This window comes from Homo sapiens, chromosome 12, assembly GCF_000001405.40.
Source record: "Homo sapiens chromosome 12, GRCh38.p14 Primary Assembly".
NCBI classification, from domain to species: Eukaryota; Metazoa; Chordata; class Mammalia; order Primates; family Hominidae; genus Homo; species Homo sapiens.
Window position 1 is genome coordinate 45553406 of NC_000012.12, and position 16865 is coordinate 45570270.

Sequence of the window (16865 nt, forward strand, 5' to 3'; positions counted from 1 at the left end):
TCAGCTCTCTCTGATGCCGGCATTCGAGAGCATTTACTGCATAACTACTTGGATGTATAATCAATTCAAGCCTGAGCTCTTTGGCTGAATGGGATATTGGCAAAGTTCCATAGGCTAATGGATAATTTGTAGGGACCCTATCATGGGCATTTGGCTGCATGTCCAATGATGTGGGGGTAACAGCCAGCATTGGTTAGAACATTTAAGGCCCTTAACAATTGTTGTGAGTGACACAACAAAACCAGAATATCATAAAACCCTAAAGAGATCAAGTGACTAAGGGAAAACACTCAAGTCTTTTCATGTAATTGCCTTGAGAGTACTGACCATATAAAATTTAATTCAATAGGTACATTTAGAGCACAACAATAAATAGCTATAGAGCAGTTTTACATCTGTTACCTCATTTGAGCCTAACATAACCTCTAAGATAGGTTATTATTTATTCTCTCCACTTCACAGATAATGCAACTGAGACTCAAAGACGTGATTAACCCTAGGAAAGTGCTCCACAAAAGATGATGAAATTGATGGCTTAGATGAAGTTAGGCCTCAAACACGAATGCAGATCTTTGCATTCCCAATTATTTGCTCTTTTCCCTACTTTCTGCTGCCTGGTTGGACAGCATCAGGTGCCACCTCCAATATGAAATGCAAATGAATAGGACTGGTTCTCCTGCTTAAGGACTCTTTTTTTGAGTCGGAGTCTCACTCTGTCGCCCAGGCTGGTGTGGAGTGGTACGATCTCGGCTCACTGCAACATCTGCCTCCCAGGTTCAAGCAATTCTCCTACCTCAGCCTCCCAAGTAGCTGGGACTACAGGCATCTGCCACCACTCCTGGCTAATTTTTTGTATTTTTAGTAGAGGTGAGGTTTCACCGTGTTGGCCAGGTTGGTCTTGAACTCCCGACCTCAAATGATCCACCCACCTTGGCCTCCCAAAGTGCTGGTATTACAGGCGTAAGCCACCGCACCCAGCCCTTAAGGACTTTTATAAAGCCTACTGGGGAGTAAGAACAGTGCTGTTGATGAAGTAAATAGACCCCATGTCATATGAAGTTACAAAAGAGAGATGAGTACTGGCTTGTCTCCTTAGGGGAGGCTGTCTAAAGCAGGCGGCAATAGAGCTGGGCTTTGAGGGATAGTCCAGATTTTCACGTGGTGAGAGAAAGAAACTGGAAACATTGCGCAGGGGCCATGCTAATCTTCTCTGTATCGTTCCAATTTTAGTATATGTGCTGCCGAAGCGAGCACATGAAACTGGAAACATTGCAACCAGTTAGGAGGACACTCAAGAGAGGATAGCTTTGGATTATGAAAATCTCACCAGTCTTGGTGACTTGTTAACTACTTAATATTCTTTAATTTCCATGAAATAATGTTTTATAGACTACAATTTTTCTAAGTTCTGTACTTAAGTCACTTCTTGATAGTAAGGACCAATTAGGTCAGTTCAACGGTTTTCCAATATTTTTGAGCTGTGGAACCAGAATCTTACATGGAAGTCAAATATATATATAAAGAGAAGCTGTTTCGGTTGAAGCAGAGGTGGATGGAGGTAATCAGAGACCAACGGAAAGGAGGTCATTCACACAAGGTGAGCCCTTATCAGCCCCATCCTGCTATTTTAAACATGATGCACATTTTGATAAGGGCCAGTCAGGAAAACAAAAACTACCTCAGTTATTTTAACAGGGAAAAAAAGATATAAAGAATTAGTTGGATGAGGCATGGTGGCGCATGCCTATAATCCGAGAACTTTGAGTGGCTGAACCAGGCAGGTTGCTTGAGCCCAGGAGTTTGAAATCACCCTGGGCAACATGGCAAGACCCTATCGCTACAAAATGTACAAAAATTAGCCAGATGTGGTATTGCCCACCTGTAGTCCCAGCTACTACTCGGGAGACTGAGATGGGAGGATGGCTTAAACCCAGGAGGTCGAGGCTACACAGAGCTGTGATCACACCACCACACTCCAGCCTGGGTGACAGAGCAAAATCCTGTCTCAAAGAAAAAAAAAAAAAAAGGAATTAGTCAGAAAATCGTTGGAGGACTGAAAAGGCAAGAAGAGAACACCAAAATAACACACAGAAAAGGTAGCTTCTCCCTATAGGGCTGGCGAAACAAAATGAAAGAGGTGGGGTTATTAAAACTTAAGAGGTCGGAAGAAGTATCCTACTGAGCTTATACTCAGACCTCAGGAAAAAAGACCCTTCCCAGCTCTTATGGGAATGATGAGACAAATTTTGGTCTAACTGATGGGAAAAAAAGTTGTAAACTAGAGCAAACTGCCACTGACAAGATGAAGGGCTAATGCTGGAGTGATGCAGGTGGTAACAATGAATAAACAGGAAGGATCAGTCCCCCTTTCTTCCTCCTGCCTTCCAGTTCCATTGGTGGAACTTCATGGGATCCAGCTGGCAAAGGAGAAAGGTGGTCTTCAGGCCCAGCCCCAGCAACACAGAGCAGAGTGGCGGGAGGTGGAGCTGAGACACAATCGCTTTATGACCAACACAGTGCCTCAGACCACAAGAAGGAGCAAACAAGACAGTAAGGGGGCTGTGCCCCAAATGTTCCTGATTTGGGGGGAAATCAGAGTTTATATCCTACAGATAGCAGATCAGTTGTTCTGTCTCTGAAGGACAAGGTGATGGTATGTTAAATGGTGTATGAACCACACATTGGTATGTACAGCCTACTAGCAGGAAGGGACCAGATCAATGGAGTGAAGAAACAAAGTAGATCTTCAAATTCTGAAATAACCTCTTTTGCCATATTTTCTGGACCAGGATTTATAATTAAATGATGACTTATTCTCTTTTTTTACGTATGTTCTTTCTTTTCAAATTCATTTTCTCTTCTGCAGCATACTTGGATAAAGTCAATGCATCAGAAAGGCTAAGTCAAGTGATAGAGCCACTAACTGCAAATACATTAAATGTATGCAGCATGTATCATTTTCCCTGTCTATGAGATGGTGATACTAAGGGATTATATATAGAAATGAAGATTCTCTCATTAGCAATTATCATTCATTCATTCATTTAACAAATATATTTTAATGTTTGTTATATATCAGGCACTGTTTTAGGGGTAGGGGTTCAAACACTGAATACATAATAATAGACAAAACACCCATATTAGTTAGGAATATTAGTATGACACTAAGTAATGGAAAATCCCACTCCAGTGGCTTTACCAAAGAGAGTTTTATAATTTTGGCCTAATGAGAAATCATGAGGGAGGCAGCCAAGATTGGCAGGGTAGGCTGTGATGCCATCAAGGACCCAGCTTCTCTCTGTCTGTTTACCCTCCTTAAAGGGCTGATTTTTATACGCACACTTGTCCTTTCATGATCACAAGATAACTATTCCACTGTGAGAAATTATATCTGCATACCAAACAAGCAAAAGAAAACAGAGAAGGAAGAGGCAATGCCCGTGTTAGGAAAGTAAAGGCTTTATAGAAATCACCAACAGACTTCTGCTCATATGTCATTGACCAGAGCTACATCACGTGGCCACCCCTCACTGGAAACCAGAATGGGAGGGTGAACATTTTTAGCTGGGCATATTTCTATCCTAAGTAAAATCAGGAATCTGTTAGTAAAGAAGAAATGATACTGGCTAGTTGTCTAGCAGTCTCTGCCACACTGCCTGTGTCATGGTGCTTATATTCCAGTGTAGCAGATTGTATCACTGGGGCTCTTTGGTTGCAGCAACTGCAGCCAAGAGGAGTGGAATTTGTTGGAAAGATGTAAACCAGCTCATAGAAGCAAAGAGAAGTTGGAGAGCCAGGTCATAGAAGAACAGGAACTAGGGCAGCCTGTGAGACTAGGCACCCAGTGGCAGTGGTCTGATAAATAAGTCCCAAATACAGAAGTTGTCCAAAGTCAGGAGAGAAGTCCAGCTCCTGGCTGGAGTCCTAGCAGTCCCACCACTCTGCACCCAGTGGGAGAGGTGATATCCCCATAAGGAAGTCAAGGAGCACTGACCAAGGAAAGAGGCAAGGGTGTAGAGCAGCCCAACAGGTCCAGAACATTGACCAAGGGGCTGATATTGGTGAAATGATTTAAGTTTCCCATATAACAAGTTCTCAAGTGCTATTAAACACTGTTAAGATCCTTAATATTATAACTCAACCTTAAAAACACATCTTTGCTCCAATTCTTTAATGCCTCAGAAAAATCCAATTTTCACTTTTCTAAACTGAATCAGAACTGCAAAAAATAGTTTACACCAGAAAAACAGACTGCAAAAGATTGGATGGTTTTGTTATTAAGACTGTCTCCTAGTTACATTTTATATATAGATTCTTCAGAATGTAGGTTAGGGAGCTATTAAAAAATTAAATAAGAGAAGAGCATCGCTTCTGCTATTTGACTTGAAGATGTTCACAGCGGGGCAACATAAAATCAGATTTTTATAGTGTTGCCTGAAAATAATACTATATACTGAACTAGGAGCCTATAGGCAGATCAGGCCATTAAGGACTATTACCCATATTATTACTGCTAAAATATTCATATGTTATAATTTTGTAATAAGGTATTTACAAAGAAAATAATGTTGGCTTAAAATGCACATATCAGTAAAGGCATTCCAGCTTAGTGTTGTTTGAAGATTTCTGCAGGAGCAAAAGCCAAAAACAACAAATGACTATTTTAAGTTTAGATTATGTCCCGCTAATTGCCTATTTTTTTTGACCCTTGGAAACATTTATAGCAAATGAAGCAATAAAATTAAGCAGAGTAAAATTTGTTAAAAAGAGAAAATTGATATAGGCCCAGGTGCCATTGTTACTCATATTCTTTTCCTGTAATAGATTTATTTCAATTTCTAAGCAGTTTTGAGTCTTCATTGGTTTATTCAAAAAATATTTAGTGAATCTGTCTACTAGGGCAGATGGTACTCCTTGCCTATTCAGTATTCATTCTCCTTTTACTCCTAACTAATATAATCCCATCTCTTTCAAGATGTCAGCACGTTCTACAAAAATAATAACTTCCAAGACTCACTTGCAGCCAAGGGTTACCATCTTACTAGGGCTAGATAATGAGAGATAAAGAAAAGAGTTTTTGTTTTTTGCTTTTTGTTTTAAGTAGGAGAAATTTATCTGGCAGTATCTTTAAACTTTCTGTTTGGAATGCAGATGCAATTCCTGGAACTGTGGCAGCCATCTTGTAACCATGAGGATACAGTCAATAACGAGATGGATCATTGAGCTTTGATGACATTTTAGAGACACTATACCACCACTGGACTGCTTGTCTTCAGACATTTTCCTATGTGATTAAAAAAAAAAATCAGCTGGGCGCAGTGGTTCACGCCTGTAATCCCAGCACTTTGGGAGGCCAAGGAGGATGGATCACAAGGTCAGGAGATAGAGACCATCCTGGCTAACACAGTGAAACCCGTCTTTACTAAAACACACAAAAAAATTAGCCAGGCGCAGTGGCGGGCACCTGTAGTCCCAGCTACTCGGGAAGCTGGGACAGGAGAATGGCATGAACCCGGGAGGCAGAGCTTTCAGTGAGCCGAGATTGCGCCACTGCACTCCAGCCTGGGTGACACAGTGAGACTCCATCTCAAAAAAAAAAAAAAAAAATCTCCATTTGGTTCAGCTATTGCAATCAGGTTCTGTTATTTGCAACCAAATGCATTACTAACTGGCATATGTGCCATGTACCTGGTACTATGTCAGACCCAGTGAACAAGATATGCAGTGAACAAGATCCCTCAGGGACTTTACTATTAAATGGGAGAAATATTAAATAAATAATTATAAAATTAATGATTTAATTACAATTTCTATGAAGGTTATTGCTAGGGCATCCAAATTAGCCTGAATGAAGATGGTGGTTAGAGGAGATATTTGGAAGTAAATGACATACAAATTGAGATTTGGAGGATAACTAGGAGTTAACTGGGCAGTGACAGTTGGAGAGAAAATTCCAAGGGGGAAGAACAGTCCCTGTGAGTAAAACATACAGACTAAGGAGAATGATACTTCGTGAGGCTAGAGCAGAAGTCAGATACAAAAAATGCAAGGCCAAGGGAAGGAGGGAAAAAAAAATGCGGGGCCTTTTGGCCATGGCAAGAAACTCAGACCGTAGAGCAATGGAAAGTCTTTGGCCTATGTAATCAGATTCCAATTGTGAAAAGATAATTCTGATTGCATTATGAAGGAACTGGAGGGAAGCAAGAGTGGACATGGGGAGTAAGAAGTTGATTGAAATAGACTAGATCAGGCGTACGCAAAATACTGACCAAGGACCTGCCTTCATAATTAAAATTGTTTGGAACTCAGTCATGCCCATTCATTTACATATAGTCTACTGCTGTTTCTATGCTACAACGGCAGAGTTAAGCAGTTGCCTCAGAGACCATATGGCCTGTAGAGTCTAAATTATCTACTATCTGGCCCTTTATAAAACAAGTTTGCCAACCCCTGCTCTAGATGGAAGATGATGAAAGAAGATGATGGTTTGGACTAGTGCCATGAAGCTGTAGAAGAGTGGACAGATTTGAGATGTATTTGAGACTTGCTGAGGGGTTAAATTTGGGAGTTGAAGGAGAGAAAGAGATGAACAATGACTTTCAAACATAAGCAACAGAAAAGATTTTTAAAAAGCAGGTTTGGGAGATAACGTTCAAGTGTTCTGTCTCGGCTGCTTGAGTTTAAATATCTTAAAGAAAGAGATTATTAATACCATGGCCTCTCTCTTGAATACGAGAAGCCTATAATATGGGAACTTTCCCTGAATTCCATATTGTAATCAGTTCTGTGCTATGACAATCACACTGTGACATATTGATTTTTACATACAGAAAGTCCTCCTAAATAAATAATTCAATTCAGTCCATTTTAATAAAAAAGCAAAAGTTAAAAGAGATAAAGACAAATGGATGATAATAAAAGTTTTCTGATGGTTTGAGAAAGAGCATCTGGTCCTTTAACAGTAAGTATATCCAATAATGATACGCTTTCAAAATTTATTTTTCATGCTATCACATTTCCCCAGTATTTTCTTGCCACTAACTATAATCAAATTGATCTCATAAAAATAACAAATTCATGGGCCTGTTGCAGTTAAGATATAACTTATTGAGAAACAATGAAGAGCTTTTGGGGTTACATTTTATTAAACCCATCTTTACCCTTCCAAATAGAATGACTGTATTTCTCTGTCAAAATCTGGGACACAAGGTTAACAACTGGAAACAAAATTTTAATTGTGGAAGTCCCAGAAAATATCAAACATATGACTGTCATATATTTCTATGCAAGATCCTAAGGCATGGGAAACTCATCCAAACTTTATTCATGACCCGTAAAAGGCGAAGCTTCAAGTACAGAAAGGAACATAATGGACCATCATGGAAAATGATGCAGCCCAACATTTGAAATAAGATACCTTGGTGCTGGTCTTCAAATTTTATAAGTATTTAGCAACATGGATATGAAATATTCTTGATGAGACCTCCTACGGAGACTATTAGAGAGGAAAAAAAGCAAGACTTCCAAAATGTAAATATGCAGGATAATATTTGACCTGCACTCTTTTTGCTTAGAACTATATGTCACAACTGTTAAACCAGTTTGGAAAGCTGCAGGAATCTTTTGAATGCTACCTCACAATTTTTCATTGTCGTGGAATTGTGCTTATCCCAGTAAGTGGTTTTTTGGCAAAACATGCTGGAAATTTTCCTTGTACTTAAGGATAAAACTATTTTTTCGAGATGCACACATTAAGATATGGGGACAAAAATATCCAAGGTAGAGAATGTAGGATTTATATGTTTAATGAAATGTGAAAATTGAAAAAGACAAACATTTCTTCTGGAGATGGCCTTAACCATTTACAAATTGATTAACTTAAAATTATTCAAACCAGCATTCTTTTATTCCTTGATAGGTAAATTTCATAGGTAATTCCTTTTTTAAATTACTATTTTCAAGCAGAGTAGAATTTTCCCTATATGAAACTTGGAATTCCTGGCCAAACAGTGTTGAGCTAATGCTCAGAAAGTAATTTCTTTCTTCCCTCCTGAATCCACCTGCTCAGGAGCATAAGCCCAGCTCCAGGTGGGATAGTGTTTGGAGGGGAAGCTGGAGCAGAAAAGAGTTTGGAACTGCCATGTGGAGCTGGTTTTGATGCTTTTGTAATTTCATTCACACACGTTTCCTTCCTTCCTTCCTTCCTTCCTTCCTTCCTTCCTTCCTTCCTTCCTTCCTTCCTTCCTTCCTTCCTCCCTCCCTCCCTCCTCTCTTCCTTCCTTCCTTCCTCTCTTACTTTCTCTCTTTGTTTCTGTCTCTCTTTCTTTTCTCTCACTCTGTCATCCAGGCTGAAATGCAGTGGCGTGATCACAGCTCACTGCAGCCTCTGCTTCCTGGGCTCAAACGATTCTCCCACCTGAGCCTCCAAAGTCGCTGGGACTACAGGCTTGCACCACCATGCCCAGCTAATTTTTGTATTATTTTTAGAGATGGGATTTCACCCTGTTGCCCAGGTTGGTCTCGAAATCCTGGCCTCAAGCTATTTGCCTGCCTCAGCCTCCCAAAGTGCTGGGATTACAGGCATGAGGCACTGCTCCTGGCCTACACACATTTTCTTTAGGAGATCTGTAAGGTGTTATTTTACAAGGTGAAGTATAATTGACAAACAATAAAATTCATCTTTCAAAATATACAGTTCTATGTATTTTGTGACGTTTATACAGCATCTCACAATCAAGGTAGAGAATATTTTCATCATCTTAAAAGGTTCTTCATGTCCTACCTCTATTCTAGTTCTGGAAACCTGCAACCATAGATCTGATTTCTAGTTCCGCCTTTTCCAGAATGTCATATAAAGGGCATTGTACAGATGTAGCCTTTTGAATCTGACTTCTTTCACTTGGCAAAATGCTTAATTCAGCAATGTTGTGAACATATTTAGTTTATTCATTTTTTATTGATGTATAGTGTTCCATTATGTTTATATGGATGTACCACAATTCATTTATCCATTCAGTATTTGGTTGTTTGGTTGTTTGGTTTTTTCTAGTTTTGGGTAACTATAAATATGGCTGCTATAAGCATTCCCATACAGGTTTTGTGTGGACTCATGTCTTCATTTCTCTAGGATAAATGCCTAAATAGAAGTTTTTCGAATCACGCAATAAGTGTATGTTTAACATTAAAAGGAATTGTCAAATTGTTTGCCTAAGTGGCTGTACCATTTTGCACTCCCACCAGTAAATGCATGAGAATTTCAGTTACTCAGCATCCTCACAAGCATCTTACATTGTCAGTTTGTTGTTAGAGCCATCATAACAGGTGTGTAGTTGTAGTGGTATCTCATTGTGCTTTTAATTTACATTTCTCCGCTGACATAATATTGAACATATTTTCATGTGTTTTCTTGCCATGTGCATCTTATTCTTTGATGAAGTATCTCTTCAAATCTTTTGCCCACTTTTAATTGGTTTGTTTTCTTAATATTGAGTTTTAAAAGTTCTGTATATATTCTGGTTACCAGTCTTTTCTGGAATAGGTATTTTCCAAACATTTTTTCTGCCTGTTTTGGGCTTGTCCTTTCATTTTTTTCACAATGTTATATGAAGAGCAGAATTTTTAAATTTTGCTGAAATCTAATTTATTAACGTTCTTCCTTTATGAATCATGCTTTTTGTGTCCTTCCTAAGAAATCTTCACCTAACCCCAAATCGCAACGTTTTTTCTGTATTTTCTTCCTATAATGACATTATAATTTTAATTTTAAATTCAGGTCTCTGATCAATTTCCAGTGAACTTTTAAATATGGTGTGAGATATGGATTGATGTTCATGTTTTACACATGGATGGCCAAATAGGCAGGCACCATTTGTTCGAAAGGCTGATCTTTTGTGTTGTATTATCTTGGTATATTTGCTGGAAATCAATATTTGTGTGGCTTATTTCTATGCTCTCTATTCTGTTCAATTGATCTATGTGCCTTTCCTTTTGCCAGTACTGTGCTGTCTTGATTACTGTAGCTTTATAGTAAGTTTTGAGATAAGGAAGGGTTAGTCACACAATTTTGCTTTTTTTTTTTTTTTTTTTTCAAAATTCTTTTAGCTATTCTATGTCCTTAGGGTTGCCATATAATTTTTAGGATCAGTTTGTTGATTTCTACCAAAAGCCTTGTAGGATTTTGATTGGAATTACTCAATATATATATCAATTTGGGGAAAATTGACATCTTGACACTATTGAGTTTTTTGATTCACTAAGACAATATGCTCTTCATTTATTTAGGTCTTCTCTGATTTCTCTCATCGATGGCTTTTAGTTTTTAATTTATAAATTGGACAGATATTTTGTTAGGTTTATCTTTAATTTTCTATGTTTTAGATGCTATTTTAAATAGTGCTTTCCAAAATTTTCTGTTCCTAATTGTCTATTACTAGTACATAGAAATACAATTGAATTTTTTTGGTATTTTGAGCTTATATCCTAAAACTTTGCTAAACCTATTTGTTAATTTTAGTAGCTTGTTGGTAGATTCTTTGGGATCTGCTATGTAGAAAATCATATCATCTGAGAATATGAAGTTTTAATTTTTCCTTTACAAAATGCATGCCATTTATTTATTTTGCCTTGTTGCACTTGCTAGGACCTCCAATGCAATACTAAAAAGATGTAGTGATAGTGGATTCCTGATTTTCTGATTTTACAGGAAAGACATTTATTTAGTCAATTATTATTAAGGGTTTTTTTTTTTTTGCAGATTTTTTGATAGACGCATGCTACCAGGTTGAAGACATTCCCTTGTATTCACTGAGTTTTGTTATTGTTGTGTTTTTTCGTGAGTGGAGTTTAAATTTAGTCAAAGTCTTTTTTGATCCTATTGGGATGAGTATATGGATTTTTTACATTGTCGATATAGTGAATTATGCTGATTTTTGAATGCTGAACCAACCTTGTATTCCTGGAATAAACCTTACTTGGTCATGTTGTATTAGCCTTTTCTCATATTGCTGGATTTAATTTGCTAATATTTTGTTAAGGATTTTGCATCTGTTTTCATGAGACATATTGGGTACCTTTCAAGATAATTCTGGTCTTACAAATGAATTTGGAAGCATTCCTTCCTCTTTAATTTCCTAAAAGAATTTTATATAGAATTGGTTTCTTTTTCTTGATGTTTCATAGAACTCACTAGTGAAGTCAGGTTCAGTGGCTCACACTTGTAATCCCAGCACTTTGGGAGGTTGAGGTGGGAGGATGGCTTGAGCTCAGGAGTTCGAGACCAGTCTGGGAAACATAGCAAGACCTCATCGCGACTAAAAATAAAAAATTGTAAATTAGCTGGGGCCAGGGGCAGTGGCTCACACCTGTAATCCGAACACTTTGGGAGGCCGAGGCGGGAGGATCACTTGAGCTCAGGAGTTCAAGACCAGCCTGGGCAACATGGCAAAACCCCATCTCTACTAAAAATACAAAAATTAGCCAGGCATGGTGGCAAGCGCCTGTCATCCCAGCTACTTGGGAGGCTGAGGTGAGAGAATCACTTGAGCCTGAGAGGCAGAGGTTGCAATGAGCCATAATCGTGCCACAGCACTCCATCCTGGGTGAAAGACCCTGTCTCAAAAATAAATAAATAAATAAATAAATTAGCTGGGCTTGGTGGCTCATGACTGTAGTCTTAGCTACTCAAGAGGCTAAGGCAGGAGGATGGCTTAAGCCTGGGAGGTTGAGGCTGCAGTGAGCTATAATCACACCACTGCATTTGAGCCTGGGTGACAAAACAAGACCTTGTCTCAAAAAAAGAAAAAAAAAAAAAGAAAGACTTCACTAGTGAAGCCTTTTGGGCCTAGACCTTTTTTGTTTTTCTTTTTCGTGGGGGAGCAGGTGTGGAGAAGGCTTTTAACTGTGAATTCAATTTGTTTAATAGATCAGGACTATTCTAGTTATTTATTTTTTTCTAATAACTTTTTTAAATTTATTTTTTCAATTTTTTTGGCATGTTCAGTTTAACAGGCAAACTAAGAAAATTTGATTCTTTTATCTCACTGGAGTAGTGTCTTTGAGAAATAAGATCTTAAAAAACACAGCACCCCAGGGTTAGTTTATATGTCAAATAAAACAAATTAAAGACTAAAAACAGCTGCATTATAACCTGTCAATGTGAGGTCCTTTTTTTCTGTTTAAAATAGCTCTGGCTGAAACTTACAACTGTGAGAGACAAATATGAGTAGAACAACTTCTACTTCCTAGATAGGATGAGTGAATTAATTAATTAATTAATTCAATGACAATTGATTAAGATGCTGCTTGCCAACTTTGCAGAAAGCACTTTGCAGCATGTGAAACAAAGGAACTACCTCCAGGGAGTTGTAATCTGTCCAGGAAATCAACTGGAAAATATCCACAAATGCAGGTGTGATCAAGCACAAATCAATATAGAGTGAACTTTCTATTTAAATGCTGAGGAAACAGAAACAAGAATATTGGAAAAGTTATTTGAAATGATTATTAAATTATTTTAAAAGATGAGTTTTGAGCCATAGTTTAAGAAAATGAACATATATCAGCAAGAAGAAATAGGGATGGCATTTCTGGTGGAGGAAGAGGCACCAATTATTATTTTATTATTTTTATTTTGAGGCCTTAGCAAAAGAGTTGGCAAAGTACAGTGAGATTGCTACAGGGAGACCTGGACAATGGGTAACATTACATTACTTAATTTCCAGGTCAACTCTTTGATGTGATTTTTCTCCCGAGTTTACTGATGAGATTATCATTAGAGTATTTAGATAACTTATCCACTGTCTCCTATGTCAATGGCAATCTGGCATCTGAACTCAGGCCTAAGGTCAAAGCCTAGCTTTCTCCTACTGTCTTACACTTTTTGTCAGCTAAAGGAGCTCAATACTGTCTGATCAGAGACTCTCAGCTGCAAAATTGTAATCAGCTGTGATGTGAATTGCAAGCAATTTGTTGCTAGTAACATGTACGCGTGCATGAATGCATGCATTCATTCAATAAGTATGTGCTGAATGCCTTGCCCTGTGCCAGGCATTGTGTTAAGGTGCCATGGATAACAGCAATGAACAAAATAAACACTCTTCCTCTCACTGGGTAACTTATTTCCTAATGATGAAAACAAACATTGAACAAGTCATTATAAGTGTGATTAATAGATATTTACAAATAAGTATATCACCTTAGTGAAGCATTAGAAAAGGGACCCAACCTAGTCTGAAAGTCTCTGTAAAGAAGTGACAGTTAAGCTGAAATATGTAGTAGAGCAGGGAGGGAAAAAAAGGGAAAACAATAAACTTTCAGACCTTACTTCATAGGAAACTGGTTGTAGGATTTTTAGCAAAGGATTAACACAATCAGATTTTTCAGATACTTATTCTTAGAAGTCCATTCTGACTGCATGGTGAAGAATAGAGGGTCATGTGATTCTAGAAACCATTTAGGAGAAGATTGCAGTACCAGGGCTAGAGAAGATGATGGAGGTCAGCCTTGAAGCCCTGAGGGCTAGCTTGGATTGGATGCAGAAGTTCAGGGAAAAAGAGGAATAAAGAACAACTCCCAGATTTCTGATATTTGTAACCAGGTAGCTGGTAGTTGGCCATCTACCCAAATTAGGAATGACACAGAAAGAGCAGCAGAGGAGTGGTGTGGTAGGCAGATGACGAGCTCAGATTTGGCAAGTTGAATAGACACATACAGTGAATGGTTAAGAGTGTGGCTTATGAACGAGACTGCCTAGATTCCAATCCCAGCTCTGCCACCTAACAGCTGGCCATTTACAACAAGTAATTCATCCTCTCTGAACCTCAGTTTCTGCATTTGTAAGATGGGGATAATAATAGCATCTACCTCATGACATTATCCTTAAGGTTAAAGTGAGTTACACAGGGAAAGCACAGTTGTAGTACAATGCCTGGGCTTGGTGAGCATCAGTAGATCTGAACTATTATTATGTGACTGTGAGATGTTCAATATATAGCTGAATGTATTGTTTCAAGTCTCAGAAAAAGGGTCAGGGTGGTGTCATTGTAGGTTTGAACTTCCCAGCTCCTCTGTGTTTGAGTGAGGGATGTATACCTGAGTTGGAAGCACTTAGTGGCCAATACAAGAACCTCTGAAGCTCTGTTTTCCTATCATAGAGAGGCTGGCAATGTTTGACAAGAAAACTATTCCACCACCCCAGGTTCTTGAGTAATTACGGTGAACATATCCTCCATGACAACCTTAGATAGATATACAACATAAATGAAGAAAGAAGTCTTTATTTTAAGCCACTTAAAATTTGAGGATTGTTTATTATTTCAGCACAATCTTGTCTATACCAACTGACACATCAGTGAGCTATTTAACTGTGCAAATTGAGAAGCTATGGGCCTAAAGCAAAAGACTTTATATGTTTAAAGCAGATGTATAGTCCACAAATAATTTCCCTAGGACGTGGGTTTCCTTCTAAGTATGAATCTAGATTATACCTCACAATCTGAAGAAGAAACTGCTTGTCTCATAAAGATATGTGAGCTTCTAGTTGAGTAGTTGGTACTGGGACATTAAAGACTGAGACTTCAGGAAGAACACGTAGGCACAATTTTCCCTTCATATTAGACAAAAGCTTAAAGAGAAGCTGGTCTAGCTTTGATGTTATTTGAAACTACTCAACCAAGACTTTGAGAAATTAAAAAAGAAGGAGCCATCCTTTCTTTTGTAATTTGGAAGAGGTAAACATAAGGGAATGATGCTCTTACATCTGTGTATCCATTGTATGGAGCTGGACTGCAGTGTTACACTATGGTTTACTTTGAAGGCAAAGCCCCACCTGTGGATAGGAATTAAGGTCTCTCCTAAGGGGAGAGGACTTTCTCACTCACAGTCATTCTGGCAAAAGGCAGATCTGTGGACTGGGAGAGACCATTGATAAGGCAGACCATAAACAGGAGATAAAGGATTTCATCCCCTCTGGATTTTACCCTCTTAGGCTTGCAGTTCCAAATATTCAGACTGCGTAAGTGGTACTAAGGGTAGCTGACATACTCTGCAGGACAGGAAGTGGGCATCTAGTTGGGGACAAAACCCTACAGCAAGGACTCATTAAGTAAGGCACCCCAGAATAATGGTGTGTTACAATGGATGGCTTCAAGAGCCTCCATATTTAATAACCAGTTTTAAGTCTCTTTGCTGTAATTTCCTCTGTTTTCCTGACCATTCAGTAAAGTTTTGGCTGACATAAAAGCCTGGTCTCCACAGGGCTGGGAAGAATTAAGAAAGGCCCTGTGACGGTTCTTAGTCCAGTAATGTAGGAGTAACTCACCTTGAAGTCAGCATGGCAGGGGAAGCATCAGCCCTTGGCCAGTGCAGGGATCAACAGGCTGGAACTGAGAAACAGCCCAGGCACATGCAGAGGGCTGGGAGCCCATGTGAAATACCCCTGGAGACTCCCTGAAAGAAATTAGAAGAAACCTGAGAAGGGCATCCTACTCTCACGCAGGTGGAGATCATCAATCAAGAGACACTAGGTTAAACTGTGACCTCATTTGCCCTGGCGAGGCCGAGGGATATGGGTTACAAATAGAATCCTGAGTGTATGCCTCCTTGGGACTCTGAAGCTTGTGGGAGTTTATCTGCCAAGTGAAAACCACTGGGCCATGTGTTGGGTAAAAAAAAAGGTTGAGACATTCTCTTCTAGGCAATGAGGAGCCCTGTGGGTTTTTAGGAAGGGAAGTGAGAAGATGAAAACAATAAGATACTGAATTTTTACAATTTTCTAATACCATTATAGCGAACAGAGGTTTGTTTTTCAATAACTGTCCTATTAAAAAAGTTATAAATATTGTTTAGGGAACTATGTTTTCAGTTGAAACAAGGCAGTAAATCAAGGTTGAAGCTTGTGGATTTAGTTAAGTAGAATGAAGGTAAAACAAAATCTCAATAAATCAAGAAAACCAACCTTAATGTAGGCAGTTCATTAATTAAAACTCACAGCCAAGAACAAGATTTACACAATCCTGAAGTGCCAATACTGAAATAGCATCTGCTTCCAAGCATCTGCTTACCAAGAAACTTTGCTCTTCTTACTGAACAATAGGATAAATCATGATCCTCTTATAATCCTTTTAAGACTGGAAGTGTTTCCCATGAAGTTTTCAAATGGCCTGGGCATGCTCATTTCACTTCGGTAACAAAATCCACAGATATAATTTGCTCAGTTTACAACTTTGAAGTAGCAATCATGCAAATCTCAAATTGTAGATGTTTGGGAAGAGAGATTAAAGCTGAAGGAGGGCCCCAAGGAGATTGAGGGGAAGAAGAGGGAAAGAGTGGAATTCAGTTTCCTACAGTGCAAGGGCACCTGGGGTGAAAAAACCTGAGGGCAAAGAGTCATCAAGACTAAAACTAAAAAGAAGATGAAGAAAATGTCCGATGATAAAGTCAGTATGCTTAAGTGAGTTGTGTTATATGCACATTTTACTTACTGAAGTGCAGCCACATATGCTAGATAAAGGAAAAGGAGAAACAGCTTAAATAGGTCTGGCTAATTTTGCACACTCTTCCCACTCAATGAGCTATCCTCTGTAGTGAGACTGAGATGGGCAACAGTAATCTGTTTTTCCCATAGTTTGTAAGTGTCTCTCACTGTGTGGGCATCTTACTGCACTGAGTATGAATCTTGGGTTTAAAGATATGTTTTTTTTTTAACAACATGATTCTTAAATTGAAGCCAACTACTTCATCAGGTGCCCAGTGGGGTGGGGGTGGAGGTAGAGACAGGAAACTGGAAAATCCTGTCAGTGGACTTATTACTAGTTGTATGATAGTCTCTGTGTCAGTTAGGGCTCAGGCAGATAAGCAGAAGCACTATG

At 38.7% G+C, this 16865-nt stretch overlaps 1 long non-coding RNA gene and 1 pseudogene across 2 annotated transcripts in view; both read right to left on the reverse strand.

Annotated features, from left to right (window-relative positions):
* Positions 1–15439, reverse strand: part of LOC105369743 (uncharacterized) — a 178153-nt gene extending 162714 nt beyond the window's left edge. For both annotated transcript variants that reach the window (XR_944886.3, XR_944887.3), the window contains exon 1: positions 15317–15439. This is a non-coding gene — a long non-coding RNA (uncharacterized LOC105369743). The remainder of the gene's footprint in view (positions 1–15316) is intronic.
* On the reverse strand, positions 1185–1254 carry LOC124903092 (uncharacterized; annotated as a pseudogene).
* Positions 15440–16865: the final 1426 nt, after the last annotated feature.